This window comes from Homo sapiens, chromosome 19 (assembly GCF_000001405.40).
Source record: "Homo sapiens chromosome 19, GRCh38.p14 Primary Assembly".
Classification (NCBI taxonomy): Eukaryota; Metazoa; Chordata; class Mammalia; order Primates; family Hominidae; genus Homo; species Homo sapiens.
Window position 1 is genome coordinate 44,698,098 of NC_000019.10, and position 27,087 is coordinate 44,725,184.

At 51.6% G+C, this 27,087-nt stretch overlaps 1 protein-coding gene and 1 long non-coding RNA gene across 5 annotated transcripts, besides 3 other annotated features; one reads left to right on the forward strand and one right to left on the reverse strand.

The window, feature by feature from the left end:
• Positions 941-27,087, reverse strand: CEACAM16-AS1 (CEACAM16, CEACAM19 and PVR antisense RNA 1). 3 transcript variants are annotated; one of them, NR_186815.1, is made up of 2 exons: positions 26,740-27,086; positions 941-1,080 (listed from the first exon to the last, which is right to left on the reverse strand). It is a non-coding gene; the product is annotated as a CEACAM16, CEACAM19 and PVR antisense RNA 1 (long non-coding RNA). The 3 variants fall into 3 exon arrangements; NR_186814.1 differs by lacking the exon at positions 941-1,080 and adding an exon at positions 17,460-17,986 and having other exon boundaries at positions 26,740-27,087; NR_186813.1 differs by lacking the exons at positions 941-1,080; positions 26,740-27,086 and adding exons at positions 17,460-17,986; positions 20,357-20,553.
• On the forward strand, positions 1,054-12,621 carry CEACAM16 (CEA cell adhesion molecule 16, tectorial membrane component). Of its 2 annotated transcripts, NM_001039213.4 has the most exons (7): positions 1,054-1,163; positions 3,264-3,396; positions 5,252-5,596; positions 5,921-6,199; positions 7,493-7,771; positions 9,764-10,090; positions 12,399-12,621. In NM_001039213.4, the coding sequence occupies exons 2-7, from the start codon at positions 3,360-3,362 to the stop codon at positions 12,407-12,409; spliced, it is 1,278 nt and encodes a 425-aa protein (NP_001034302.2). In that variant the 5' UTR covers positions 1,054-1,163; positions 3,264-3,359; the 3' UTR covers positions 12,410-12,621. The 2 variants fall into 2 exon arrangements, with proteins under 2 accessions (NP_001034302.2, XP_016882284.1); XM_017026795.2 differs by lacking the exons at positions 1,054-1,163; positions 12,399-12,621 and having other exon boundaries at positions 3,345-3,396; positions 9,764-10,245.
• Positions 24,205-24,354: an enhancer, noted in NCBI's record as "active region_14766". NCBI's record gives its function as "activates an Ori minimal core promoter by ATAC-STARR-seq in GM12878 lymphoblastoid cells {active_cell/tissue: GM12878}" and the evidence as "EXISTENCE:reporter gene assay evidence [ECO:0000049][PMID:35858748]".
• Positions 24,485-24,594: an enhancer, noted in NCBI's record as "active region_14767". NCBI's record gives its function as "activates an Ori minimal core promoter by ATAC-STARR-seq in GM12878 lymphoblastoid cells {active_cell/tissue: GM12878}" and the evidence as "EXISTENCE:reporter gene assay evidence [ECO:0000049][PMID:35858748]".
• Positions 24,665-24,724: an enhancer, noted in NCBI's record as "active region_14768". NCBI's record gives its function as "activates an Ori minimal core promoter by ATAC-STARR-seq in GM12878 lymphoblastoid cells {active_cell/tissue: GM12878}" and the evidence as "EXISTENCE:reporter gene assay evidence [ECO:0000049][PMID:35858748]".

Genomic DNA, 27,087 nt, shown 5'->3' on the forward strand with positions numbered 1-27,087 from the left:
TGTTTTGGAAAGAGCCTCTGTCTGCCATGTGGAGGGGCAATGGGAGTCGGGGAGACCAGGGCCAGAGACTAGGGAGGAGGCTGGTGGGGAGACAGGAGGACCCAGGCAAGGTGGGGTGGTGGAGTGGTCACCTAGACCAGGGCAGGGGCTTCAGGGAGGGAGAGAAGATATACGTAGAGTCAGTTGCCAGAAGGGGTGGCGTGTTCGGGGAGTAGGGGGAGGCATCAGGGATGAGGCCCCAGGTCTCTTTTCCCAGCGATGAGGTGGGTAGTGGCGCCTTCCCTGATAAGGGCACCAGGGGAAGATACACTTCTGGGGGAAGATGCCAAGGTCAGTTTGGGACAAGGTGAGTGAGAGGTGCCCAGGGACATCAGGGAGGCATCCTGATTGATACTGGGATGAGGTCCCAGTGCTCTGGGCCAGGACGCAGAAGAGTGAGGTGAGGTCACAGGTGGGGAGAGGGGAGCAGGAGGCGCCAGGACATCCTCTGTGCCTCTCACCTGGCCTCACCCGCACCTCCTCAGGGCCTTCTCCCCCTTGTTAGAGCCCTGCCCCACGAGGGCAGCCCAGGACACAGTGCTGGAGGCAAACCAGGACAGGTGAGCACAGGTGTGGCCCCCTGCCCGGAAGCAGGCTGCAGAGGCCTCAGAGGAACCAGGACTCAGAAGCCATCAGGATGCAGGTCATAAGAACACAGCTATCAGCAGCTCTGGCACCACAACCCCCTCGGCTCCTGCCCAGCATCATCTCAGAGACACCTTCCCTGTTACCCTCCCTCCACCCCAATTTAAAGTAGCAAACCAGGCCAGGGGCAGTGGCTCATGGCTGTAATCCCAGCACTTTGGGAGGCCAAGGTGGGAAGATCACTTGAGGCCAAGAGTTTGAGACCAGGCAGAGCAACATAGCGAGATCCCATCTCTACAAAAAATAAAATGGCAAATCCCCTTTCTGACTTTATTTTTCAATCTGACGTGGAAGATATTTACCTTTCCTTTATTTACTCCGCAAATGTCGGCCCCCTGAGGGCAGGGATTTCATCCGTCTTGTGCACGGCTGCATCCTCAGCGCCTAGAACAGCACCTGGCAAACAATAGGTGCTCATTCAGTATTTGTCCAATAAGTGAATGAGTGATTTACTGAGCATTTACTCTGCGCCAGTCGTGGTAAGTACTGTACTTCACATGTGTATCTACTTAATCCTTTCAACAGCCCTGTGATGTGAGTACTATTGTTTTCCCTATTTTACAAATAAGGAAACTGAGGCTTGGCAGAGTCCATAAATTGCCCAGGGTCCTGGAGGTAGGAAACAGTGGAACTATGTCCAGAGCCTATACTTTTTTTTTTTTGAGATGGAGTTTCACTCTTTTGCCCAGGGTTCAAGCAATTCTCCTGCTTCAGCCTCCCAAGTAGCTGGGATTACAGGTGCCCGCGACCACACCCAGCTAATTTTTGTATTTTTAGTAGAGACAGGGTTTCACCATGCTGGCCAGGCTGGTCTTGAACTCCTGACCTCAGTTGATCCACCCACCTCGGCCTCCCAAAGTGCTAGGACTACAGGCATGAGCCACTGCGTCCGGCCATGAGCCACCACGCCCGGCCAGAGCCTATACTTTTAATAACAGGCATACCAATCAGACCCACGTCCACCAGGCTCTGGCTTAAATCCCTGACTTGTAGCCTCTCACTAACTGCTGTCAACAAACCTGAAGTAGGGTCCATATCATCTCTATTTTTTTGTTTGTTTTTGAAATGGAGTCTTGCTCTGTCACCCAGGCTGGAGTGCAGTGGCAGGATCTCGGCTCACTGCAACCTCTACCTCCTGGATTCAAGCGATTCTCCTACCTCAGCCTCCCTAGTAGCTGGGATTACAGGCATGTGCCACCATGACCGGCTAACTTTTATTTTTTGTTTTTGCTTTTGTTTTTTGAGATAGAGTCTCACTCTGTCACCCAGGCTGGAGTGCAGTGGTGTGATCTCAGCTCGCTGCAACCTCCACCTCCTGGGTTCAAGAGATTCTCCTGCCTCAGCCTCTCGAGTAGCTGGGACTACAGGTGCACACCACCACACCCAGCTAATTTTTTATATTTTTAGTACATACGAGGTTTCACCATATTGGCCAGGCTGGTCTCGAACTCCTGACCTCGTGAGCCACCTGCCTTGGCCTCCCAAAGTGTTGGGATTACAGGCGTTAGCCACCACACCCAGCTAACTTATATTTTTAATAGAGACGGGGTTTCGCCATGTTGGTCAGGCTGGTTGCAAACTCCTCACCTCAGGTGATCTGCCCATCTCAGCCTCCCAAAGTGCTGGGACTACAGGCACCTGCCACCACGCCTGGCTATTTTTATTATTATTATTTTTAGTAGAGATGGGGTTTCGCCATGTTGGCCAGGCTGATCTCGAACTCCTGACCTCAAATGATCCGCCTGCCTTGGCCTCCCGAAGTGCTGGGATGACAGGCATGAGCCAGTGCACCCGGCCATCATCTCTATTTATCAGAATAATAAATGGAGACTCAACAAGGGACTGTCCCCAGCCCCACTTTGGGTAAGTGCAGAGCTGGTGTCAAAACTCAGCTCTCCTTGGCCCCAAAGCCTCCGAATACGCCCATTTGACAGAGAGGGGAAAACAAGGCCTCCGAAGTGGGAGAAAGAGAATGTGAACTTCTGAGCACTTTGCAGGAAGCCAACAAGAAGGAGAGCCCCAAAGAAAGCATGTGGCCATACAGTTTCCTGCCCTTCTGTCTGGGTTTGCACACAGAGCAGGGCTCAAATCCCCTCTCCCTGCAGGAACCCGGACAAGTGGGAGTCCCCACCTAGCTCATCTCCATCTGCAAAGGGGGGTCCTAAAGGTGCCCACTTTACAGGGTTGTTTTGCCATCCGCTGAGACAACACCTGTAGGTCCCCTGCACTGGGTGGGGCTGGGAAAGGTGCAGTCACCTTTTACTGATTTTCTTCCTTGGTGACTCCCAGGCTCTCTGAGGAGGCCACGGGCCTGGGTGGTTGGTAAGAACTACCCGAAAACCTTCCCCTACTTTTCCTCTCTTCTCCTCGGTGACCTGGTTCCTCTCCCAGTACCAAATCCAGGCCCTCGGCACAAAGAGGGTTAGGCGGCTGCCCCAGGAGGCCTGCCCAGGTCACGGCCTCTGGCCGGTGCCCGCCACACCCACCCTGGTACCCAAACCGGGCCCCAGATCCTTGGTGACTCGATCCCTCCAAATTCAGGTGATCTCCCCTGGCTCCAAATCACCAAACCCTCCCAGGTCCTGCGGCAGACGGAGCCGAGCCCCAACCAGGAAGGGAGTCCGAGCACTGGGACTTCAACGCCACCATCTCCAAGACTCGGTTTGGGGTGAAAGATGGCGCTGACTGGGTACAGCTGGCTGCTCCTCAGTGGTGAGCGAGAATGGCACCCCCCAGCACCTCAGCCCCCCGAGGACCCCAGGGAGGGGAGGGGACCCCCAGTCTGAGAGAGGGAAGGTGTGAGCAGAAGTCCAGCGTGCTAGGGAGGGAGGGCAGCCCTGCTTCACACCGGCAGTTTACCCCTCCAAGAGGCATCTGCATTGGGCAGGCTGGGGACAGCCACCCAGAGAGGTTTTCAGGGTGGGCTTTGGAGATTTCTAAGCCCAGGGCACAAGCCAGGACAAGGGAGCCGCTGTTGCTCCTTCATTCCTGCAGGTTTCTGTTTTATCAGCTATGGAAGCCTTGATGAGGCTAAACTCTTCCCAGCAGCTGTTTCTCCCGGAAGATGTAGCTTAGGGCAGTTGCCTTTCCCTTCTCAGCCTCTGTGTACCCACCTGTGAATGGGGCCTCACTGACAGGGTCATGTAAAGGTCATTATAAGCAGCACCACATATGCCGTGTGCCCGGAGCTGTTCTGAGAGCTTCTCATGGTTTAAAACCACCTATGAGGGGCCGGGCAAGGTGGCTCACACCACTAATCCCAGCACTTTGGGAGGCCGAGGCGGGCGGATCACCTGAGGTCAGGAGTTCAAGACCAGCCTGGTTAACATAGTAAAACCCCATCTCTACTAAAATACAAAAAATTAGCTAGGTGTGGTGGCACATGCCTGTAGTCCCAGCTGCTCGGGAGGCTGAGGCAGGAGAATCACTTGAATCCAGGAGGTGGAGGTCACAGTGTGCCGAGACTGCACCACTGCACTCCAGCCTGGGCAACAAAGCAAGACTCCATCTCAAAAAAAAAAAACAACCCCAAACCACCTATGAGGGAGGCCCACACATGAACCGCACTTCATAGGGAGAAAACGAGGCTCAGAAAGGTGAAACCATTGGCCGCTGTCACACGGCCAGAGAGTGGCAGGACTGAGGGCTAGACCCAGAGACCCTCACTCCTAGCCACACTCTAACAGCCTGGAAAGTACCAGAAAGCTGGCCAGCCATGTCAGTCCTTTTGACGTGAGCACTGTCACAGCCGCCCGTTCCGGGCATTCAAACCACACGTCATTCAAACCCAAGCAGCCCCGACCAGCTCATCGGGCTTGGGGCTGATCTGCTTGGTTGAGAAGGAAAGGGGTGGAGTGTGTTCATCTTACCCCTGCTTTCCGCTGTAGGCGAGCTTGGAGAGGCAGAGGCAGAGCCCCAGACTGGGAGTCAGGACCCAGGGGGCAGGCCCTGACATCCTACGTGGGGCCATACAATTAGCTGGGCTGGATACGCAGCCGGATCTCGCGAGACTTAGTTTGGTGACTGTCACGATGGGAAAACCCTTTGGGTCCGGCTTAAAGCCGCAGGTCCTGTGGGCCGAGCACTTGCTTTGCACTTGCTGTATGCAAGATGTGATGCTAGATCCTTGGCACAGTCCATCAGACCCAATCCTCACAACACACGCCTCCCTCCCTCGGACTGAGTCCCTCCCTGGGACTGAGCTCCTGCATCTGACTAACATGTATTGGGCACTTACTGTATACCAGGCATTGTAAGCATGGTATGTATACAGAATCCTTACAACCTTACCAGGCAGGTAGACCTGTCATCCCCATGTGAGAGTTGGAAGAACAGAAACACAGAGAAAGACAGTGTACTCGAAGCCATGCAGATAAACTCCCAGAAAGATTAGGTGGCTGAGATGTTGAGAGTCAGAGTTGCAGGTTCAAATCCTGGTTTTGCCTGTCCTCATTTACACAGAGGACACTGGGCTGGGGACATGCCCCGAGCCTGAGTCTCTTCTTCTGTCAAATGGGGCGATTGATCAAACCTGCCTCATCCAACCCCTCTGACTCCTCTTCCTCAGCCACATTCCTGAATGTGGGGGCCGAGATCTCTATCACCCTGGAGCCTGCCCAGCCGAGCGAAGGGGACAACGTCACGCTGGTCGTCCATGGGCTTTCGGGGGAACTGCTCGCCTACAGCTGGTATGCGGGGCCCACACTCAGCGTGTCATACCTGGTGGCCAGCTACATCGTGAGCACAGGCGATGAGACTCCTGGCCCGGCCCACACGGGGCGGGAGGCTGTGCGCCCCGATGGCAGCCTGGACATCCAGGGCATCCTGCCCCGGCACTCAGGCACCTACATCCTGCAGACCTTCAACAGGCAGTTGCAGACCGAGGTGGGCTACGGACACGTGCAGGTCCATGGTGAGACACCCCCCAACACCCGCCTCTGCCCCAGCTGGGCCTTCCCATCTCCTTCTCAATCCTTCTTTTTTTTAAAAAAAAAAAAAATCCAACAAATCATCAGGGAAACCATCAGGGAATAAGTTTCTAAAATAACCTCAAAATGCTCACCTCCTTCAAGATGGCCTCCAGGATTAGACCTGCCTCCTAAAACCATTCTTTGTCCCTCCGGCTGAGGGTGTGGGGGCCCAGCCACAATCCGGCCATGCCCCTTGTTGGGGGAAGGGAAGGCCCTCAGAGCAGGTGGTGTCCGGCCCCCTCCCCCTCTGTCTCTTGCCCCCACAGAGATCCTGGCCCAGCCCACAGTCTTGGCCAACAGCACAGCGCTGGTGGAACGTCGAGACACCCTGCGCCTTATGTGCAGCAGCCCCAGCCCCACCGCCGAGGTCCGCTGGTTCTTCAACGGTGGGGCCCTGCCCGTCGCTCTCCGCCTGGGCCTGTCCCCTGACGGCCGGGTGCTGGCCAGGCATGGCATCCGCCGGGAGGAGGCCGGCGCCTATCAGTGTGAGGTGTGGAACCCGGTCAGTGTCAGCCGCAGCGAGCCCATCAACCTGACCGTGTACTGTGAGTCCTCCTGGCCCCACTGGAGATACCCAGTGTCCAAACCTCATGGATGGGGAAACTGAGGCCAGGAGAGGGGGCCTAAGGGCACACAGCGAGTCAGCAGGCAAGCTGGGATTGGGGACCAGGGACCCCTCTTAAAGTGCACTTGCCCTCGCCAGGTGCAGTGGCTCACGCCTGTAATCCCAGCACTCTGGGGGGCCTAGGCGGGAGGATCACCTGAACCCAGAAGTTTGAGACCAGCCTGGGCAACATGGCAAGACCTCATCTCTACCAAAAAACATAAAAATTAGCCAGGCATGGTGGCACATGCCTGTAGTCCCAGCCACTCAGGAGGCTGAGATGGGAGGATTCCTTGAGCCCCGGAGGCCGAGGTTGCAGGTGCAGTAAGCTATGATTGCACCACTGCACTCCAGCCTGGGCGACAGAGCAAGATGCTGTCTCAAAAAACAAACAAACAAAAAAAAACAACAACAACAAACAAAAAAAATACACTTGCCCCATATCCTAAAGGACTTCTACAGACCACCTTTACTATTGAATAATCCTTCAGTTAGGAGCAATATCTACAGAGAAAGGAAACAGGGCCAGTTGGTTTGAAAAGGGAGCAGGGGAGGGAATAGTGTAATGGGAGGGGACACAAAATTTAACAACATAACCAAAGCATGCAGTCGTTCCCAGGAGCAGCAGATGTGCAGTGTGGAATCCTGGGAAAATAAATCACCAAGGTACATGAGGACCCATGATGTAGAAAAACTTAGTGCCTACAATCCTAGAATCTTACAACCAGAGAATTCCAGACTTCAGAAGCACTGAATTCCAGACTCTGAGAATCTTAGAACCTCTAGACGCAGAGATTCTTAGAATCTTAGAATCTAACCCTGAAATCTTAGTCTAGAATCTTAGAAACATAGATTTCTAGAAGCTTAGAACCTTAGAACCTAGAAGCACCAATTCTTGAAGCCCTAGAATTCTACACTCTTAGAATGGCTTTGTCAGAAAAAAAAAATCATTTAGGCTTTTTTTATTTGTCAATGGAGCCATAGATTTCAAAAATACCTTGAAATATTATCTTGCCCAACACATTCTTTTTACAGGAGAGAAAGGTGAGATCCTCTTAGAGGGAGTGATTCTCAAGATCCTAGAACAAGTTAGAGTTAAGGCCAGAGCTTTTTTTCCCCTCCACTAGGCCAAGATATTCCCAGGGACCTAGCTTGGTGGAGAGAAAACCAGGGGTACCAACCTCCACTCCTCCTTCCCTCTACTGCCCCATCTATCTCCCTCCTGCCCCCACAGTTGGCCCAGAGCGTGTGGCCATCCTCCAGGATTCCACCACCCGCACAGGCTGCACCATCAAAGTTGACTTCAACACGTCCCTCACCCTGTGGTGCGTGTCCAGGTCCTGCCCAGAGCCCGAGTATGTGTGGACCTTCAACGGGCAGGCCCTAAAGAACGGCCAAGACCACCTCAACATCAGCAGCATGACAGCCGCCCAGGAGGGGACGTACACATGTATTGCGAAGAACACCAAGACCCTGCTATCTGGATCTGCCTCAGTCGTGGTCAAGCTCTCTGGTGAGTCACCCCCAGCCTGACCACCCCCCAGTCCCCATGGAGGCCTCATCAGGCTGCGAAGGTTAAGCCACCATTTGCCCAACAGAGAATTGGAACATGGTAGATTCACAGTTCATTCATGAGCTGTGACAAAGTGGCATATCAGGCAGATCTGTTTGCATCTGGGTCTAAAGAGAGACAGCCCGTGTCCTGTTCACCTAGAGAACAAATGGCAAACCATTGTGGGTTGACAGAGTGGAAAATCACTCAGATATCACTTCAGGTGGGTGCCACTGCTCTAAATTCAGTCACCAGCTGTTTAGGGCCTTGACCCTCTACCCGCCCCCACCCCACCACACAGACAGCTGAAATTCTGTGCAGCCAACTAGACTACCCAGTTATCTGACCCAGATGATGGGTATACACACACACACACACACACACACACACACACACACACACACAACTGAAGAATCACAGCCAATTGCTGGCAAATGGAGAAACAGCTGGGGAGGCATTGTCATCTTGCTTCTGTCCTAAAATGACCTGAGGGCTGGGGCAGTGCAGGCAGCTGGCATTTCAGAGCCATTGGGATCCTCAGGCGACATTTTCTCATCTTCCGGAGATGGTGGCTTTGAACATTAAGGCCTCATTAATTCTACCTCGGTTCCTTCCCAAGTGGCCATCAGCCCCCGGGGGACAGTGGGGAATGGTCGTTCCCTCCCTCCCACTAACAGGCTGGGTCTCATCCAAGGGGTGGATTTTCACCCAAAGCAGAAATGGCATCCCCAGAGGTAAGTGTGACTCCCGCTCCACTCATCTGGGGCTTTGGCAGCTGGTCTTGACAGGAGACAGGGGGATGGACCAGATGACCTCAGGCGCCACCCCAAGCCCTGTCTGTGCAGTCCAAGAAGGGGGGTGTCCAAGGTATGCAGGTATGTGCAGGGAGTGGATACAGTGCCCCCAAGGGCTTCTAGCACTGTCAGCAACTCTGTGGCAGGTGCTGGGAGAGACACAGAAGAAAAGGAGACGCCACCCTCCCTCCACCTTGGGAGACTAATCTGATGGAGGAGACAAGGCCTCTGTCCTTGGAGAGATGATCCTGGGACAGGGAAACATGGCTCCTTTATTCAAGGAATAGCTGCTCAAAGAGAAGAGGCAATGCCTCATCCTTCATGTCAGTAATGAGGGAGATATGACAACCCACCCTCAGTGAGCTCCTAGTCAGATGGAGGAGACACAGTCTGCACTTGGGGAGAAATTTCCTTCTGATGGGGAGACTTGGTCTCCAGGAGACATGGCCCTGTTTTTTGAGCATTCCTAGTCTGATGGGGTATCCACCTTTGGGGTACTCCTAATCTGATGGAGGAGTACAGGACCCCACTTTCTAGGAATTTCCAGTCTGATGGAATAGACATTTCCCTCTAACTTCCAGGGTCCCCAACTTGATTGGAAAAACTCAGCAACAATTTAGAATTTCTCAATCTGATGGAGGAAACAGGGCTGCCGCCTTGTAGGAATTTTCAATCTGATGGAGGAGACATGCTCTCACCCTCAAGAATCTTTCAATCTGATGGAGGAGCTATGGCTTACACATTCTGGGGTCTCTCGGTCTGACAGACACAAGTCCCAACCATCTCATGGGGAAGACATGGTCCCCATTTTCTGGGATTTCCACTCTGATAGGGGAGACATGGCCCCTATATTTTGGGAATTTCCAATCTGATGGAGGAGACATGACCCAAGCCTCTAGGGTCTTCCAGTTTGATGGGAGAGACACCTCTCAAAGTCTGGGAATTTGTAGTCTGATAGGGGAAACACAGACCCCAGCAGACACTACTGGGACCCAGAATCCACCTCCACCACCGCACAAGTCACCTCCTTCCTCAGTCTCCTTCCCAGCACCCTACATGGGGAGTGCCAGCCAGCTGGGGGGAGGCCAGCAAGGGTTGGGAAGGGGACACCATGCCAGATGCAGACCAAACTGACCCAGCCCGCTCGCTCTCTCCCCAGCTGCAGCAGTTGCCACGATGATCGTGCCCGTGCCCACCAAGCCAACGGAGGGCCAGGACGTAACACTGACCGTGCAGGGCTACCCCAAGGACCTGCTGGTCTACGCCTGGTACCGCGGGCCTGCCTCCGAGCCCAACCGGCTGCTCAGCCAGCTGCCGTCAGGAACCTGGATTGCAGGCCCCGCGCACACAGGCCGGGAGGTGGGCTTCCCCAACTGCTCGCTGTTGGTGCAGAAGCTGAACCTCACAGACACTGGCCGCTACACACTCAAGACTGTCACAGTGCAGGGCAAGACTGAGACACTGGAAGTGGAGCTGCAGGTGGCCCGTGAGTGTGTGGGAAGGGGCAAGGCGTGCCCCTTTTTAGACAAGGGCTCCCAAAAGGAGCCTTTGCTTCCTCCATCAGGCTGGGGGGACATAGACCAAAGATGGATACCCATCCCCCATCAGGCTGAAGGAAGCAGCCTTGTCTCCTCCGCCTAACTTGGGGGTCCCCAAATAGGGTTCTGCCTCTTCTATCAAACTAATGACCTACACTGTGGGTAGACAGGCCTCCTCCATCAGACTGAGGGTTGCTAAAGGGGACCCCCATGCCTTCTCTCTCAAATAAGAGGTACAGCACACTGAAGGTTTTAAAAGAGAAGGCATAGTCTGATGGTGGAGCATCCTTTTTCCTGCAGACAGGTGGACCCTAAAACATAGGGTCCATATTGGGGTAATGGGTTAATTATAGGAGTTTACCTCTCCTATCAGACTGCAGGCAGAGAATAAGGATGAATCAGGCCTCCCTATTCAGACTGGGAGATCCTGTGCAGTGGGGATCATGTCTCCTCCTTTCTATTATTGTGAGGGCAAAGTTTCTATCATCAGATGGTGGAGTTTCTCTTTCAAACTGAAATAAGGATGATTGCTCCATTAGGATGGAGGCCTGTAGGTGTGGAAGTTGTGTCTCCTCACAGAATGGAAGTTCCCAGATGTTGGGGACCATGTCTCCCCATCAGACTGGGAGCTCTTAGAAGTCAGGAACAATGTCTCCCCCATTGGATTGGGAATTCCCAAGTGTTGGAGACCATGTCACCTCCCTCAGACTGGGAGCTCTCAGATGTTGGGAACCGTGTCTCCCCATCAACTGGGAGCTTCTAGAGTCAGAAACTATGCCTCCTCCATCAGACTAGGAGCTCCCAGAGTCAAGATCCAGGTCTCCTCCATCAGACTGAGAGCTCCCAGAGTTATAGACCATGTTTCCTCCGTCAGACTGGGAGCTCCCAGAGGCAGAGACCACGTCTCCTTCATCAGACTGGGAGCTCCCAGAGGCATGGTCCATGTCTCCTCCATCAGACTGGGAGCTCCCGGAGTCAGGGACTATGTCTCCCTCGTCAGACTGGGAACTCCAGGAGTGAGGGTCCATGTCTCCTCCATCAGACTGGGAGCTCCCAGAGTCAGGGACCATGTTTCCTCCATCAGACTGGGAGCTCCCAGAGTCAGGGACCATGTCTCCTCCATCAGACTGGGAGCTCCCAGAGTCAGGGTCTATGTCTCCTCCATCAGACCGGGAGCTCCCAGAGTCAGGGACCATGTCTCCTTCATCAGACTGGGAGCTCCCAGAGTCAGGGACCATGTCTCCTTCATCAGACTGGGAGCTCCCAGAGTCAGGGACCATGTCTCCTCCATCAGACCGGGAGCTCCCAGAGTCAGGGTCTATGTCTCCTCCATCAGACCGGGAGCTCCCAGAGGCATGGTCCATGTCTCCTCCATCAGACTGGGAGCTCCCAGAGTCAGGGTCTATGTCTCCTCCATCAGACTGGGAGCTCCCAGAGTCAGGGACCATGTCTCCTCCATCAGACTGGGAGCTCCCAGAGTCAGGGACCATGTCTCCTCCATCAGACTGGGAGCTCCCAGAGTCAGGGACCATGTCTCCTCCATCAGACTGGGAGCTCCCAGAGTCAGGGAGCATGTCTCCTCCATCAGACTGGGAGCTCCCAGAGTCAGGGACCATGTCTCCTCCATCAGACTGGGAGATCCCAGAGTCAGGGTCTATGTCTCCTCCATCAGACTGGGAGCTCCCAGAGTCAGGGTCCATGTATCCTCCATCTGACTGAGCATCCCCAGAGGTCTGAGTCCATGTCCCTACAGCAGGGCCAGGTTTCCCCCATTAGCTCTCAGACACTGGGGATGAGATCATTCCCCAAGTCTGGAATCTTGCCTCCCCCAGCAGACAGAGCATTCTCAGAAGCCATGTCCCTGAGTCCGGGATGGTGCCTCCCCTATCACTGGAAATTTCCAGGATCAAGGACTCAACCACTGCCAGTCACCCACTTTCATCCAGTCACTGATCAAACCCTGGTTTTCTGGGTCAGTGTTAGGGGAGAATGCTGTTCAGTGGCAGCAGGCCACCCCGGCAAAGCCTTGGGATTCCTTTTCACCCATTCTCTCTTCTCACAGTCAACCTCCCTCCCTCGCACAAGGACCAACGCTACCTTCCTGAACCTGAACCTGGCACAGGCTGAGCGTGGGGTGGATTGGGCCACTGGGTGGCCCGGGGTGGGCAGGGGAGCAGAAGGGGTGGGGGCACTGGGGACCTGGTCCTCCATCTCTCTGACATCCTCCTTCGCCCCCTCGCCCCATATGCCCCACAGCCCTGGGGTAACAGCGTGACCCTGGAGACGTCCAGAGAGAAGAGCTCTTCGCACCATCCTCTGGTCCTCGCCCTCTGAGTGGGAACCACTCCCCCACAGCGAGGATGCCAGGCTGTGGTCCTGCTGTTCTCCTGCCTCCACCCTAGAGCTAGAGCCACAGGGCCCCACTCCCTCGCTGAGCTGTTGGGGAGCCACCGAGGCCATAAACGTCCTGGTTAATGCACACGTGTGTCAGCCTCTCCTTCCACCACCGCTAGCCCCGCCATTTCCTGGTGGCCGCACTCATTTCCTTTCCCCCCCAAGACTTTTCTCAGTCTGGGTGTGCACGTGCAGGAGGATGGGCCCAGATCACCGTGCTCCACACCCCACTGCTGGATGCCAGGGCCTTGTGCCCCTCCCGCAGTGCTCCAGGTTATATGTGAGAGTCCTGCTCCCCAGCTGGCCAAGGACTGCCCCTCTTGGAGCACCAGCATTCTGTGGGACATGGCTCTCCCCTACACTGCACCTCATTTTGTCACCTGGACCCCGAAACAGGGCTGCTTGTGCTCAGGAAATGACCATATTTTGCAAGAAGTCTTCCATCACCTTCTGGTAGTCCTCACCCATTTAATCAAAGACACAACTTTGTCCTGGGATTCCCCGCATGTCTCTCCAACATTATCTGCCCAACCCTGACAATATCTCCTTCCTTCTGCAGCCACAGGAAAGGCCCTGTGGATGGATGAATGCAAGCGGGGCAGAGGTAGAGGCCAGGAGTGGAGAGCTGGGAAGTGGGGGCCAGAATGAGTGTGTTTTCTAACTCGTCTCATTAGTGGGAGCCACAGGCCCCACCCAGCCGCAATGCCCCACTGGAAACAGGTTCTTGGCATTGGTCAGGAGTGGTGATGGCCGAGTCGAGGCTTAGAATAGAAAGACAGGTTTGGGCAGAGACGAGAAAGGCCCTTTTGGGGATGATTGTGTTGAGTTGGGGTGATGGGTGGTGAAAGACCTCCAGAATGAGGGTTATAAAACCTGGATCAAAATCCTGCATTTGCCACGGATTCACTAGAGCCTCAGTTTGCCCATCAGTAAAAAGGTGTGGACTTGAGGTGGACCAGACTTTTCCAAACCATTTTTAAAAGCCTCAGAGCCCTTTCTTCAAATACAAGTTTACATGGCAGGTCAATTTATTATTAATATTTAAAATAGCAATGCAACAAATATAGCCCCAGCACAGTGCCCATGCCTGTAATCCTAACGCTTTAGGAGGCTAAGGTGAGAGAAACGCTTGAGCCCAGAAATTTGAGACCAGCCTGGGCAACATGGCAAAATCCCGTCTCTATTTTTGAAAATAAATAAATAAATAAAACCAACTATAGATACCAATTCAATAGCTATACTCGTCTCCCCCAAAATTTCTATAGAATTGGAAAAAAAATTACTTAAATTTAAATACCACTGGGATTAGCCAGACATGGTGGCGCATGCCTATAGATCACTTGAGCCCAGGAATTTGAGGCTGCAGTGAGCCATGATTGCACCACTGCACTCCAGCCTGAGCAACAGAGTGAGACTACGTCTCATAAAAAATGTTAAATTTTACAAATAAAAGGTAACACTTGGGGCCGGGCGCGGTGGCTCACCCCTGTAATTCCAGCACTTTGGGAGGCTGAGGCAGGTAGATCACAAGGTCAGGAGTACAAGACCAGCCTGACCAACATGGTGAAACCCCGTCTCTACTAAAAATACAAAAATTATCCAGCCGTGGTGGCATGCTCCTGTAATCCCAGCTACTCAAGAGGCTGAGGCAGGAGAATTGCTTGAATCTGGGAGGCAGAGGTTGTAATGAGCCAAGATCGCACCACTGCACTCCAGCCTGGGCAACAGAGCAAGAAGACTCCGTCAAAAAAAAAAAAAAAAAAAAGTAACACTTGGACTACAGAAGCAACTAAAATACAAGATATCAACCAGAATCAAATGACAGTAAAAGCATCATATACATCAAACCTGTGGGACATGGCCACAGCCATCCTTGAAGAGAAAAATGATAGCTTATAAGCATTGAGAGTACTAAAGGAAAAAGACTTGAAAATGAATAAAACAAGCTTTCTACTCAAGAAACTAGAAAAAGTCCACAAAACGAACCAAAGAAAAAAGCTAAGGAATGAAGAAAGGTAAAAGCAGAAATAGATGAAATGTAAAACAAAACATGGCCAATAAAACCTAAAGCTGATTCTTTGAAAATGCAATGAAATAGACAGACTTTCTGCAGGTATGATCAAGAAAAAAAAAAAAAACAGAGAAGTATAAATAAGAAACACAAATAATAAAGAGCCAAGGAGATTAATATATAAAATAAAAGGCCCTGGGGTGGGCGCTGCGCTCACACCTGTAATCCCAGCACTCTGGGAGGCTGAGCCAGGAGGATCACTTGAGCCCAGGAGTCCCAGACCAGCCTGAGCAATGTAGCAAGACCTCATCTCTACAAAAGTTTTTCAAAAATTATCCAGGAATAGTGGTGCATGCCTGTAGTCTCAGCTACATGGGAGGCTAAGGCAGGAGGATTGCTTGAGCCCAGGAGGCCAAGGTTGCAGTGAGCTATAATCACCCTACTGCACTCCATCCTGGGCGACAGAGCAAGACCTTGTCTCTAAAAAAAGAGAGAGAGAGAGAAAAGAGAAACTGGTCTGGTTGAAGCAAAGGTTGCTCAATAAATATACATTGACTGAAGAGGGATCTGTTGGTTGCTCCCCAGCCCACTGCCCTCCCTGCTTCCATGACACACGCACTGCCTCCCTCTCTAGAAGCTGAAAATGTCAGGTACTCACTTTCCCAAACTGCCTTGCAGCTGCAAGCAGCCATGTGACCAATTCAAGCCCATGAGGAAGGAGAGAGCCTAAAGTTCCACCCACTGACTCCACCTCACCGGAGGGGACACTGAGGGAGCTCTATGGAGTTTGAAAGCTATTATCTAAATTAGTGGTCTCCATTGTGGGGCTTCTAGCTGGGACGTGAGGATGGACTTGAGCCCATACTACTAACCCCAACACTATCCAGCCCAGAAAGAAGAAATAGCATCCATATTACCACCTTCACCCCACCCCCATCCACCCAAGTTCACATAAAAACTTGACATAGATGTGGCTAGAGTCTAGATATAACAGTTAGAAATTCTTGGCCGGGCGAGGTTGCTTATGCCTGTAATCCCAGCACTTTGGGAGGCCGAGGCGGGTGGATCACGAGGTCAGAAGTTCAAGACCATCCTGGCTAACATGGTGAAACCCCGTCTCTACTAAAAATAGAAAAAATTAGCCAGGTGCAGTGGCAGGCACCTGTAGTCCCAGCTACTGGGGAGGCTGAGGCAGGAGTATGGTGCAAACCTGGGAGGCGGAGTTTGCAGTGAGCCGAGATCATGCCACTGCACTCCAGCCTGGGCGACACAGCAAGACCCTGTCTCAAAAAAAGAAAAAAAAATTAGCTGGGCGTGGTGGCAGGTGCCTGTAGTCCCAGCTACTCGGGAGGCTGAGGCAGGAGAATGGCGTGAACCTGGGAGGCAGAGCTTGCAGTGAGCCGAGATCACGCCACTGCACTCCAGCCTGGGTGACACAGCGAGACTCTGTCTCGAAAAAAAAAAAAAAAAAAAGAAAGAAAGAAATTCTCTTCAGTGGCTAGGCTGGGCACTGTGGCTCACACCTGTAATCCCAGCACTTTGGGAGGCCGAGGTGGGCTGATCATCTGAGGTCAGGAGTTCGAGACCAGCCTGGCCAATATGGTGAAGCCCCATCTCTACTAAAAATACACAAAAATTAGCCGGGCATGGTGTGATCAAGAAAAAAAAAACAGAAGTATAAATAAGGAACACAAATAATAAAAAGCCAAGGAGATTAATATATAAGATAAAAGGGCACCTGTAATCCCTGCTACTTGGGAGGCTGAGGCAGGAGAATTGCTTGAACCCATGGGGCAGGGGTTGCAGTAAGCTGAGATCATACCATTGCACTCCAGCCTGGGTAACAAGAGTGAAACTCAGTCTCAAAAAACAAAACAAAAGAAATTATCTTCAGTGGCTAGTAAGAAATATTGGAACTAGCATAAACAATTAGGCAGAATAGATACACAGGGAGTAGCTTATATGGCTAGAAGATTATTTTTCTCATTTCTCAAACGTAAAAAATCTCCAGAAGCAGATTGTTCAGAGCTAGAATGGAGGCCCTGTAGTGTCATCAGGGACACAGCTCCTTCTATTCTTCTGTTCCATTATCCTTACCTTGGGGTTTCCATCCTCTCCATCACCTCATGGCCCAAGATGGCTGCTGGAGTCACAGCTGCCTCATCCATGTTCCAGGCAAGAAGCAGAAAGAAGGGAACAAAGGGAAACAAACAAAAAAAAACTCCCCCTAGCCAGTTTATGGACTGTGCCCCTTTTAAGGGAACTTTACCTAAGGCCCATCCAACAACCCCTGCTTAGATCTGATTGGCCAGCTCATAGTACCATGGCCACCCTAGCTGCAAGGGAGGCAGGGAATTGCAGTCATTGCCTTGGGTATGCTGCTGCCCCAATTAACATCAAGGTTCTTGTATTAAGAAAGGCAGAGAGAATGGGTCCCGGGTGGGCAGCTGGCAGGCTTGGCCACTCCAAGCTTTGGAACTTCTACCTCCTCAGCTAGGCAAAATGGCCTTCCTCACCTGAGCCCAAGGAGTAAGAGTCACAGCCCCCATAGCAGGGGTTTGAGAAAGATGGGAGCTGCTGCTCTGAGCTGTGATTGTGTGCAGTTGATGCAGAATGAGGCCAGCAGGAGGGGCAGAAGGAGGGAAGGAGAAGCAGCTCAGGTTTCTAGGTCAAGCAAAATCCCATAGCCTCAGGGTGTGGTGGAGGCTCAAATGTCCCCAAGACCAGGTCCTCCGTCCCTCTGGGCATCTCTGTGCTCTTTTACTGAATTATCTCAAGTAGTGCAATCCCCTTCATTAAGAGTGTAGGAAAGAATAATAACAATAACCACAAAATAATAATCACTCCTATATCTCGAGCATCAGTGTATTAGTCCATTCTCACATTGCTATAAAGACATACCTGAGACTGGGTAATTTATAAAGAAAAGAGGTTTAATCAGCTCATGATTCTGTGGGCTATACAGGCTTCTGCTTCTGGGGAGACCTCAGGAAACTTACAATCATGGCAGATGGTGAAAGGGAAGCAAGCACGTCTTCACATGGCCGGCAGGAGAGGAAGGTGGGGTGCTACACACTTTTAAACAAGCAGCACTAGGAGGATGGTGCTAAAACATTAGAAACTGCCCCCACGATCCAATCACCTCCCACGAGGTCCCTCCTCCTACACTGAGGATCATAACTGGACATGAGATTTGGGTGGGGACTAAGAACTAAACCATATCAATTGGTTTTATCCTTTTTCATGCAAGATCTCAATTCCTACAGCAGCTCTTAAGAGCAGTTACTATCATTCCCCCAACTTACAGGTGAGGAAACTAAGGCACAGAGACTTGAAAACTTTGCTCCAAGTCCCACAGTTCCCATGTGTCCTAGGTGGAGGTGCTGGTGGGGGAGTCCTCTCCATTCTTCAGCAGGGCAGAGGGTTTCAGGGCACAGCTCTGAGGACAGACAGAATTCTTTTTAGCTGTGGGAACTTGGGTACATTGCTTGCTTTTCCTCCTCGTAAAATGGAGATGATAATACTGCCCCTGCCTCCTAGGATTGTTGAAAAGATCACATTAGTTAATACAAGTAATGAGCCTGAAACATGGATGCTCAATAAATGCCTATGACCCAGACTAAGGTGTTAGATTTTAACAACAGGCAGATAGAAAAAGCAAAGATAACATTTTTCTTTTTCTTTTTTTTTTTTTTTTGAGACGGAGTTTTGCTCCTGTTGCCCAGGCTGGAGTGCAATGCATGATCTCGGCTCACCACAACCTCTGCTTCCTGGGTTCAAGCGATTCTCCTGCCTCAGCCTCCCCAGTAGCTGGGATTACAGACATGAGCCACCACACCCGGTTAATTTTTTTTTTTTTTTAGCATTTTTAGTAGAGACGGGGTTTCTCCATTTTGGTCAGGTTGGTCTCAGGTGATCCTGACCTCAGGTGATCCGCCCGCCTCAGCCTCCCAAAGTGCTGGGATTACAGGCATGAGCCACCGCGCCCGGCCATTTTTTTTTTTTTTTTTTTTTTTTTCCAGACCGGGTCTCAGCATTATCCAGACTGGAATACAGTGATGCAATCATGGCTCACTGCAGTCTCCCAAGCAGCTGGGACTACAGGCATGAGCCACCACGCCGGCCAATTGTTGCATTTTTTGTGGAGTCAGGGTCTTGTTCTGTTGTCCAGGCTGGTCTCAAACTCCTGGGCTCAAGCAATCCTTTCACTTCAGCCTCCTAAAGTGCTGGGATTACAGGTGTGAGCCACCACACCCTGCTTCAAAGATAACATTTGTCCTGGCGAACTTAATCCTACTAAGCAGGTTTGCTTCGCTTTATGTAATATATGATGTTCTTTACATTGTAATCACTGAGATTTGCTGACAAAAAGTAATAATAGGCCGGGCGCGGTGCCTCATGCCTGTAATCCCAGCACTTTGGGAGGCTGAGGCAGGCAGATCACCTAAGGTCAGGAGTTCGAGACCAGCCTAGCCAACATGGTGAAACCCCGTCTCTACTAAAAATACAAATAATTGCCAGATGTCATCATGTGCGCCTGTAATCCCAGCTACTTGGGAGGCTGAGGCATGAGAATCACTTGAACCCAGGAGGCAGAGGTTTCTGTGAGCGGAGATTGCACCACTGCACTCCGGCCTGGGCAACAAAGTGGACTCCATCTCAAAAAAAAAAAAAAGTAATAGGCAGATCACAAGATCAAGAGATTAAAACAATCCTGGCCAACATGGTGAAACCCTGTCTCTACTAAAAAATACAAAAATTAGTTGGCCGTGGTGGCACATACCTGTAGTCCCAGCTACTTGGGAGGCTGAGGCAGAAGAATTCGCTCGAACCCAGGAGGCGGAGTTTGCAGTGAGCCTAGATCGTGCCACTGCACTCCAGCCTGGAGACAGAGTGAGACTCTGTCTCAAAAAAAAAAAAAAGTAATAAAAGCAATAATAATAAATGTGTATGAGCTTTTAGAAACACGATGCTCATCATCGCAGGTTCCAGGGTAGGTGCTCTCAGCACAGGTTCTCTGACTTGCTCCTCAAAGCTTCCCTTTGAAATGGAACTATTAATACATTTCCCAAATCTCCTGTTTATTAACGTAAACATCCCTGCGAAGAGCACTGGCTAACGCCTGTTATCCCATCACTTTGGGAAGCTGAGGCAGGAGGATTACTTGAGGCCAGGAGTTCAAGAACAGCCTGGGCAACATTGCAAGACCCTATCTCTACAAAAAAAAACAAAAAACAAAAAAAAAAAACAGAATTATTTGGGCATGGCAGTACTTGTCTGTCATCCCAGCTACCTGGGAGGCTGAGATGGGAGCATTGCTTGCGCCTAGGATTTTGAGGCTGTAGTGAGCTGTGATGGTGCCATTGCACTCCAGCCTATGAGACAGAACAAGACCCTGTCTCAAAAATTAAAATAAAATAAAATAAGTTATATATCCCAGGCTTCTGCCTGGGCCCAGAAAACCTGTCTCTCCAGGGTGGGGACTTGAAAGAATTTTCTTTCTTTTTTTTTTCTTTTTTTTTTTTTTTTGAGACAGAGTCTTGCTCTGTCATCCAGGCTGGAGTGCAGTGGCATGATCTCAGCTCACTTCAACTTCTGCCTCCCGGGTTCAAGCTATTCTTGTGCCTCAGCCTCCCGAGTAGCTGAGATTATAGGCGCCTGCCACCACGCCCGGAAAGCAGAATTTTTAACAAAGGGTCTAGGGAATTTTTGTTAGCTGGGAAATTGGGGGACTCAGATGCAGAGACTGTTTGACAAAAAAAAAAAAAAAAGGAAAGTGAGACACCACAAAGAAGAGGAGGTGACTTGCCCAAAGTTACTCAGCCAGAAAGGAGCAGGGCCAGGATTTGGTCCAGAGAGGAGCAGGAACTAGTCCAGGGTCACGGAGCAGGTTTCAGATGAGGGCTGAGACTGGCGCCCTTCACTGTCCCGAGCAGGTCCGCAGTGGCTCCTCGCCTCCCCCATTAAGCCACGAAGCTCTGGTGGCGCCGGGGGCCCTCAGGTTCCACCAGCCGTGGGTGGGGAGGCAGACTATACCCCTCTCAGCCCCAATCCCTTCCCCCTCACCCAAGCTGCCTTTTCTCAAATAACCACACTGGGGAGGGCAGGGAGTCGGGGTGACCTTGAGGCCAGAATACACAATGGCCCAGTCCCTCTCTGGAGCCCTGCCAGGGAGAGGAAGGAAGCCTGCCCTGTTTTTTTCCATGGACTGGAATGTTGATTCAGGATGGAGAGCAGGGAGGAGGGAAGGGGGAGGTGGGAGAGAGAGAAAAAAAAAAAAGGAGGAAAGAGAAGGGAGTAGGAGGAGGGTGGAGGAGGGAGAAAAGGGGAACAGGGCAAAAAGGGAGAAGAAGGAGGTGGAGGAGGTGGAGGAGGAGGAGGGATGGGGAGGAAGAGGAGAAGAAAGAGGAAGGAGACAGAAGAGGAGCATGGAGGAGGGGGTGCCAAGGCCAGACTTTGGGAACCAAGGAATGAGCCCCATCAGCTTCAGCCCATCCTGACACACAGTGTGGAGAATGCAGAGTCCAGAGAGGGCACCCCAAATCTGCAAGGTTGCACAGGACCAGTGCAGCCAAAGGGCCTCACCTGTGCGGCTGCCTCCTGCCTGTGGAGGCAGGAGCTCCCTGAGTCCTCACAGAGACCTTCAGACGCAGGTGTCATGTTGCATGTTTCTCAGAAGAGGATACTGAGGCGCCCAGAGGTAAAGCCACATTTCCTGGAGCATCTCCCCTTCGGATCGGACTCCAGGGTCCTTACAATGGTCTGCAGGCCTGCCCGCCCGTCATTCCCTTCATCATCTCCTCTCCTTCACTCACTGCAGCCACCTGGCCTCCTGGCTATTGTTTGAACAAATCAAGCAACTCCTTCCTCGGGGCCTTTGCACTGGCTGTTCCCGCTGCCAGGAATTTCCTTCCCTCAGACACCTGCATCACTCCAGTCAGGTCTCTGCTCAGATGTCACCTCCTCAGAGGGGTCCCCTGTACACCCAAAGTTGTCTGGCTTTATTCTTCACAGCATTTATCACTTACACAACTAACCCAACTTTACATTTTATATTTCTTTTTTGTTTTCTTTTTTGAGACAGTCTTGCTCTGTTGCCCAGGCTGGAGTGCAACCGCACAATCACAGCTCACTGTGGCCTCGAACTCCTGGGCTCAAGCAATCCTCCTGCCTCACTCTCCTAAGTAGCTGGGACTACAAGTGCTCACCACCATGACCTGCTAATTTTATATATATATATATATATATATATATATATATATATATATATATATACACACACACACACACACACATATATATACACATACATATATATATACACACAAACATACATATATATACATACATATATATATATGTGTATATATATATATATATATATATATATATTTTTTTTTTTTTTTTTTTTTTTCCCTGAGATGGAGTCTTGCCCTCTCGTCCAGGCTACTAGAGTGCAGTAGTGCAATCTTGGCTCACTGCAACCTCCACCTCCCATGTCCAAGTGATTCTCCAGCCTCAGCATCCCGAGTAGCTGGGATTACAGTACCTGCCACCAGGCCCAACTAATGTTTGTATTTGTGTAGAGATGGGGTTTCACCATGTTGGCCAGGCTGGTCTTGAACTCTATCTAGAATATACAATATATCAAACATTTCAACACAAAAAAAAAAATCTGACTTTTTTTTTTTGGAGATGTAATCTCAATCTGTCACCCAGGCTAGAGTGCAGTGGCATGATCTCAGCTCACTCCAACCTCTGCCTCCCAGGTTCAAGTGATTCTCCTGCCTCAGCCTCCTGAGTAGTTGGAACTACAGGCTTGTACCACCACGCCCAGCTAATTTTTGTATTTTTAGTAGAGTCGGGGTTTCACCGTGTTGGCCAGGCTGGTTTCAAATTCCTGACCTCAAGTGATCGACCCGCATCGGCCTCCCGAAGTGCTGGGATTATAGGTGTGAGCCATCACGACTGGCCATTTTTTGTCTTTTTGATGACATCTTGCTCTGTCATCCAGGCTGAGTGCAGTGGCGCAACTATAGCTCACTGCAGCCTCCAATTCCTGGGTTCAAGCAATCCTCCCACATCAGCCTCCCAAGTGAGTAGCTGGGACCACCACTGTGCACCACCACACCTGGCTGTTTTTAACTTTTTGTGCAGACAGGGTCTCGCTGTATTGCTCAGGCTGGTCTCGAACTCCTGGCTTCAAGCAACCCTCCTACCTCTGCTTCCTAAAGTGCCAGGATTATAGGTGTAAGCCACCATGGCTGGCCAACAATATAATTTTTTAAACAGGCAAATTATCTTAACAGACATTTCTCAAAAGAAGACATACAATGGCCAACAAGTATATGAAAAAATACTCAACATCATACTCATTGGGGAAATGCAAATCAAAACAACAATGAGGTATTATTTCACCTGAGTTAGGATGGCTGTCATCAAAAAGACAAAAAATGGCCAGTTGTGATGGCTCACGCCTGTAATCTTAGCACTTCGGGAGGCCGATGTGGGCGGATCACTTGAGGTCAGGAATTCGAAACCAGCCTGGCCAACATGGTGAAACTTCAACTCTATTTTTGTAAAAATACAAAAATTAGCCAGGCATTGTGGTGCAAGCCTGTAATCCCAGCTACTCAGGAGCCTGAGGCAGGAGAATCACTTGAACCCAGGAGGCAGAGGTTGTGGTGAGCTGAGATGGCGCCATTGCGCTCCAGCCTGAGCAACAGAGAGAGGTTCCCTCTCAAAAAAAAAAAAAAAGAAAGAAAAAAAAAAAGGAGCAGGGATTCAGCTTTTGAGGGCCATGGCGAGGATTTTGGCCATCACCCCAAGTGAAGTAGGAGCCACAGAGGCTGGATGGGTTCTGATTCAGTTTCTTTTTTTTTTTTAGATGGAGACTTGCTCTGTCGCCCAGGCTGCAGTGCAGTGGCGCAATCTCGGCTCACTACAACCCCCGCCTCCTGGGTTCAAGTGATTCTCCTGCCTCAGCCTTCCCAGTAGCTGGGATTATAGGCATGTGCCAACTCACCCAGCTAATTTTGTTGTTGTTTTGTTTTGTTTTGTTTTTTGAGACAGAGTTTCACTCTTGTCTCCCAGGCTGAAGTGCAATGGTGCCCACTCAGCTCACTGTAACCTCTGCCTCCGGGGTTCAAGTGATTCTCCTACCTCAGCCTCCTGAGTAGCTGGGATTACAGGCATGCACTACCACGCCAAGCTAATTTTTGTATTTTTAGTAGAGACGGGGTTTTGCCATGTTGGCCAGGCTGGTCTTGAACTCCTGACCTCAGGTGATCCACCTGCCTCAGCCTCCCAAAGTGCTAGGATTGCAGGTGTGAGCCATCATGCCCGGCCCTGATTCAGGTTCTAACAGGATCCCTCTGGCCATGAGGTGGAAAGAGACTGTTGGGGGCAGAATTGTAAAGCGAGGGACAAGAAGAGTCAGGGGTCTCCAAGCTTTGAGCCTGAGCCACTGCAAGGATGAAGCTGCCATTTCTGAGGCCAGAAGGCTGCAGGCAGGGCTGGGTTGGAGATTGGAATGAAGATAGGTCTTGTTTGAGGCCAATGAGGAGGGAGCCTCACCCGAGGCACACAGGCTCCAGGCGGGAAGTTGGCGACAAGTTGTGGACTGTGGTTTTCACCCACCTCATGGGGCCCCCTCATCCTCTCCCCCAACTTCCCCTCACGCCGTGGTGGAGCCAGCTTTGTTTGTTTCCCCCCCATCATCCGTTTCATGATGGGGAAGACTGGTTTTCCCCTAACCCAACAGACACCTCTTCCCTCAGCCTGTCCCTGACCCTCCCACCTCGGGAAGCCCCGAGCGGGCCTCCCAGAATGTCCCGGCAGGAAGGGGCTGCTGCTACCGTTCATCCAGCCAGATGAACCCCAAAAGGGGAAGTGGGTCACCCGTAGTCACCCGGCTCATGGTCAGCTCGGGACTTCAGGATCTCGTCTCTTCACTGCACCCACCACAGCCCTGGGAGGTTTTCCATGCACGCTTCTCATTCTCCCCACATTTCACACGAGAAAACAGGGGCTCCAAGAGAGGCCCACACTCACCTAAGGAGCTCCAAAGATAGGGGCATCTGGATTTGAACCCAGGTCCTAGCAGATGTTGTTAGCTCAGAGGAGAAGGCAGAGAGGGTGAACAGAACCCAGCCTGCCCTCCCAGATCCAGTGGGAAGGCAGACTTGTCCCCAGGTAATAATAGCCCAGCAGTGTTCACAGCCTGGGATGGAGGAGCCCAGGAGGCTGCAGGAGCTCAGAGCGCATGCCTGACCCAGCCTGGGGTCAAGGAGGGCTTCCTGGAGGAAGGGACAGCTCATCTGATACCTAGAGGATGAGTGGGAGTTACTAGGTGTAAATAGTGCAGGGAGAGGGAAGAGTATGTGCAAAAGCCTAGGGTTGAGAGGAAACCTAGGGGCTCCAGCAAGGCGCAGTGGCTCATGCCTGTATTCCCAGCACTCTGGGAGGCCGAGGCGGGCGGATCATCTGAGGTCAGGAGTTCAAGACCAGCCTGGCCAACATGGTGAAACCCTGTCTCTATTAAAATACAAAAATTAGCCAGGCGTGGTGGCGTGCACCCATAATCCTAGCTACCTGGCAGGCTGAGGCACGAGAATTGCCTGAACTTGGGAGGTAGAGATTGCAGTGAGCCAAGATCACGCCACTGCACTGGCGACGAAGTCAGATTCCATCCCTCTCTCTCAAAAAAAAAAAAAGCTGGGGGGAGCCTAGGGGCTTCTAAATCCGATCGTGTCCTGGCCCTGATTAAACTCTCCTACAGCTGCCCTGGCAAACTCTTTAGCTTGGCATTCATTCATTCATTCATTCATTCACTCATTCATTCCATAAACATTCCCTGGAGTGCATTGTCAGTGTCAGGCCCCAGGGGAACACAGCAGTGACCACGACAGCCCCACCAGACCATGACCCTGACCAGGGGGCTCACGAGGGCGGAGACATCTACTCCAAGACCTGAAGGAGGAGTAGGAGAGATGCTGGGGAAGAGGCAGGGAAGGGTGTTCCTGGCAGAGGGAACAGCCTGTGCGAAGGCCTGAAGGTAAGTTTTGCATATGACACCTTTGAGAAACTACTTATTGTTCAACTGAAGCATAGGGTTGTTCAGAAGAAGCCAGCCTTGTGGCCGGGTGTGGACTTCCTCCCAGGGCACCAGGGAGCCACTGCAGAGTTGTGAGCAAGGGACAGACAGAGGTAGGCTTGTACTTCCAAGAGACTCCCCCAGCTGCCACATGCAGGGTGAATGGAATGATGCACAGAATCCAGTTTCAGGGGTAGTTTGGTACTTGGACCCAGGTCCCAGGGAGAGAGTCCAAGGAGCCCTTCTCTGGTCTTCCAAGGAGCTGCTCTCCCCAAGCTCCGGATGGAAGGCGTGCCCATGGCAACCGCTAGGTGGTGCCCGTACACCACCAGCCAGGTCTTTTTTTGCCAAAAGTAGATCAGGCCCAGAGCTGGGCAGAACTGCCCCTGGGTCAGGAGAGCAAATCGTCTCTGTCTTTTGGTCCTGGCTCCCTGGCCAGGCATCCTGGGGCCATTTGACTCCCAGGCTCAGGAAGGAGCTGGCTGAGCTGCAGTGAGTATGTTCTTCGTCTCTTTCCTCACCTTGGAATCTCAGACGGGAGCACCCTGGCTCCCACTTCAGACAGGAAGATTCTTACCTCCCTCATCAGACTAGCAGGCTCTTTGTCTCCCCACCAGTTTGAGGGGCTCCCCATTTCTATCATTCATTTGGAAGCTCATCAGCTCTCCCAGAAGGCATGGGAGCCCTTCAACACCCCCATCAGACTAGGACTACCCATCTCCCCCATCAAATTAGAACTGCATTGTCTCACACATCAAAGTATCACTCCTGGCCAGGTGCAGTGGCTCCCGCCTGTAATCCAAGCACTTTGGGAGGCCGAGGCAGGAGGATCACCTGAGGTCAGAAATTCAAGACAAACCTGGCCAACACGGTGAAACCCGGTCTCTACTAAAAATAACAAATTAGCCAGGCGTGGTGGTGTGCGTCTGTAATCCCAGCTACTCAGGAGGCTGAGGCAGGAGAATCGCTTGAACCCAGGAGGCACAGGTTGCAGTGAGCCAAGATCACACCACTGCACTCCAGCCTGGGCGACAGAGCGAGACTCTGACTCACAAAAATAAATACATTGTCTTACACATCAGAATGTTGCTCCTTACCTCCCCTGGCAGACTGGAAATATAGACTGGACACTCGTTCTTGCTGCACAGGACTGGAGCTTCTTATCTTCTTCATTGGATTTGGACAGTCCTGTCTCCCTCATGGGATTTGGTGAGAGCTCCTTAGTTTCCTTATTTTTCCCACTGTGTTGGGCCACCTTGTCCCCACCATCAGATTGGGGAACACCTTGTCTCCCAGTCAGACCAGAGGGGCGGACTCCTCTGCCCTTGCAAAGGTTCCTAGGTCCTTCTTACATCCATAGGAGGAACCATGCCTATTTTACCAAGAGGGAAACTGAGGCACAGAGAAACAAAGCACCACTTCTCTGTCCAGCTGCAGATGCCTCC

What these genes read in the sequence shown, in the direction of transcription:
- CEACAM16 (XM_017026795.2), top strand. Translation starts at nt 3,360, where the DNA reads ATGGCGCTGACTGGGTACAGCTGGCTGCTCCTCAGTG. An exon ending in CATCAACCTGACCGTGTACT is followed by an intron (nt 6,200 to 7,492) that starts GTGAGTCCTCCT and finishes CTGCCCCCACAG; the next exon opens with TTGGCCCAGAGCGTGTGGCC. An exon ending in AGTCGTGGTCAAGCTCTCTG is followed by an intron (nt 7,772 to 9,763) that starts GTGAGTCACCCC and finishes CTCTCTCCCCAG; the next exon opens with CTGCAGCAGTTGCCACGATG.